The sequence below is a fragment of the Homo sapiens genome, chromosome 13, assembly GCF_000001405.40.
Source record: "Homo sapiens chromosome 13, GRCh38.p14 Primary Assembly".
In the NCBI taxonomy this organism is placed as follows: domain Eukaryota; kingdom Metazoa; phylum Chordata; class Mammalia; order Primates; family Hominidae; genus Homo; species Homo sapiens.
Genome location: NC_000013.11, coordinates 39,129,079 through 39,131,439, shown reverse-complemented (window position 1 = coordinate 39,131,439; position 2,361 = coordinate 39,129,079). Strand labels below are relative to the sequence as shown.

Sequence of the window (2,361 nt, the reverse complement as noted above, 5' to 3'; positions counted from 1 at the left end):
ATTAGATACCACTGAATCATCCTGATTCTTTCTTCTCTCTCTCTCTTCCTGGATCCAGTCACTGCATTTTTCTTAAATTCTTCCTCCTCTCTCATACCTACTATCACTGACTTGGTTAAAGTCCTTAGTATTTATTTTGTTCATTTGCTGAGCTTTTGTGGGGGCTAGGCACTAATATTAATGAACTCACATCTTTGTTTTATAAATTCTCAGTATCTACAAATGTGGCAGAAACTGTACTAAGCAATGACGATATAGAGCTGAAAGATACTAGCCCAACCTTATAGATCTGGCTAAAAAGAAATATTCAAATAAGTGGAAAAAAAGGTGTGCTCTCTATTAAGTCTAATTGGTAGAAAACAAGCAGTGGGGGTGCAGAATCAGGAAATATTTGAAAATATTTATGCCGGGGTTTACGTTTACGTTAGGATTTTGAAGGATGAGTAGAAGTTAGCTTGGTAAAGAAGTAAAAAAGATATTCCAAGCAAAGGGGATGGTATGTACAAGGCATAGGCACAGAAAAAAATCACAGCAAGTTTATACAACTGTGAGCAGTTTTGCAGAGCTGAAGGATAAGGAAATAAAGAAAGTGGTAGGAATATTGTAAAAGACATTGAAAGATTTTTAGAATGTGGGATGGTCTTAAAATATGTCAGTGAATTTTTTCACAGTCCTCCAAAGGTGGTTCCTAATTCCCCAACCCTTGAATGTGAACCAAACTTAATGACTCACTTCTAACGAACAGAATGTGGCACAAAGTGATGCTACGTGACTTCTGAGGCTAAGTCATAAAAAGGTTGGCTTCGGCATGGCTCTTTCTCTCCTGGGTGCTCGCTGCAGAGAAAGCCAGTGTCATGCTGTGAGAACACTCAAGCAGGCTAAGAGAGGACCATGTGGTGAGGAACAAAGGCCTCCTTCAATAGCCAGCATCAAGTCGCCAGCTACAGGAGGGAGCCACCTTGGAGGTGGATTTTCCAGCTCCATTCAAGCCGTTAGATGACTGCAGCCCCACGTGACAGCTTCATTGCAATCTCGTAAAAGACCTTTAGCCAGAAATACCCAGCTAAGCAACGCCCAAAGTCCTGATGCATGAAAACAATGAGATTAGTAAATGTTTCTTATTGTGTTAAGTAACTAAGTTTTGGGATTCTTTTGTGTGTAACAAGTTGTCTTGGATAACCAAGACAAAACAAGAGTGATGTGATTAGACATGTTTCATGAAACTTTTGTGGCATTGTGAACTATAGGGAAATTATTGGAGTGGAGGTAGAATGAAGGCAGTTGAATAAGTTAGGTCTGTCACATGAATTAGGTAGGGATGTGACATGGACCTGAACTAAGGCCTTGGCTTTAGGATTAAAGAAGAGTGAAAAACGTTTGAGAGATTTAGGGAGGAAAAAGCAACAAAATTTAATGAATTTGTGAGGGATGAGAGAATAGAAAGCACAGGAGATGGGGAGATCACTTACGATAACGGGGAATAAAGAAGGAAAAGCAAATCAGGTGAGGAAATAAGCTTAGTTTTTAGTTTTGAATGTACTGAGTTTGATGTGCCTGTGGAAAATCAAAATGATGTCTTAGTAGAGGTGTGTGTGTGTGTGTGTGTGTGTGTGTGTGTGCATGTGTGTGTGTGTGGATACAAAAACAATCTCTACCCTAGGAAAGGAAAATGGGCTGAAAATAAATCAAAGGAGAGTGGAGAGTGTAATATAAGTTGGCAAATGGTAGAACATTAGATCACTTCAACATTTAATGATAGAAAAGGATACAGGGAGCAGGGGTGTGAAAGATTCAACAACAACAACAAAAATTAAAGTGGAGAGAAAGCATAAAAACCCAAAAGGGAGAGAATCCAAAGAAAAGGTGGACAGTGAGCCAACAGAGATAAAGACTAATAGTTGTCTACTCTACTGAGCAACCAGGAAGTTACCGGTAAATTTGACCATGGCAGATTCAATAGGACAGATGGTGACAGAAGCCAGACTGAAGTGAGTTGAAAAATGACCAGATGGGAAATGCAGAGGCATTGAATGCAGCGTGTGTGCTCCAGCAGCTCACTGTGAACGGGAGCAGGGGGAGCCTCCCAAACGCTCCCTCTGCCTTTGTTTTGCCTTCCCTATTTCTGTTCCACGTTGCTACAAGCGTGATCTTGTCAACATCCAAATCTGCAGAGGCTCCTGATTAAACATGGTAAACCAGCCCATATAATTGTCTCCCTTCCTTCACAAGATTTCACTTAAATAAATGTAGAGAAAAAGATTTAAGTACAAACCAAAATAACCAGAGACATAGCAGGTGAGAAATATCAACAGATTTTTGGAAGAAGGAAAGGCAAAATAGGAGTAGAAAGAACTTAGAAGA

At 39.9% G+C, this 2,361-nt stretch overlaps 1 annotated feature.

Annotated features, from left to right (window-relative positions):
* Nucleotides 633–1,154: an enhancer, noted in NCBI's record as "OCT4-NANOG hESC enhancer chr13:39704423-39704944 (GRCh37/hg19 assembly coordinates)". NCBI's record gives its function as "activates a minimal SCP1, AML or CMV promoter by ChIP-STARR-seq in naive H9 embryonic stem cells {active_cell/tissue: H9 hESC(naive)}" and the evidence as "EXISTENCE:reporter gene assay evidence [ECO:0000049][PMID:30033119]".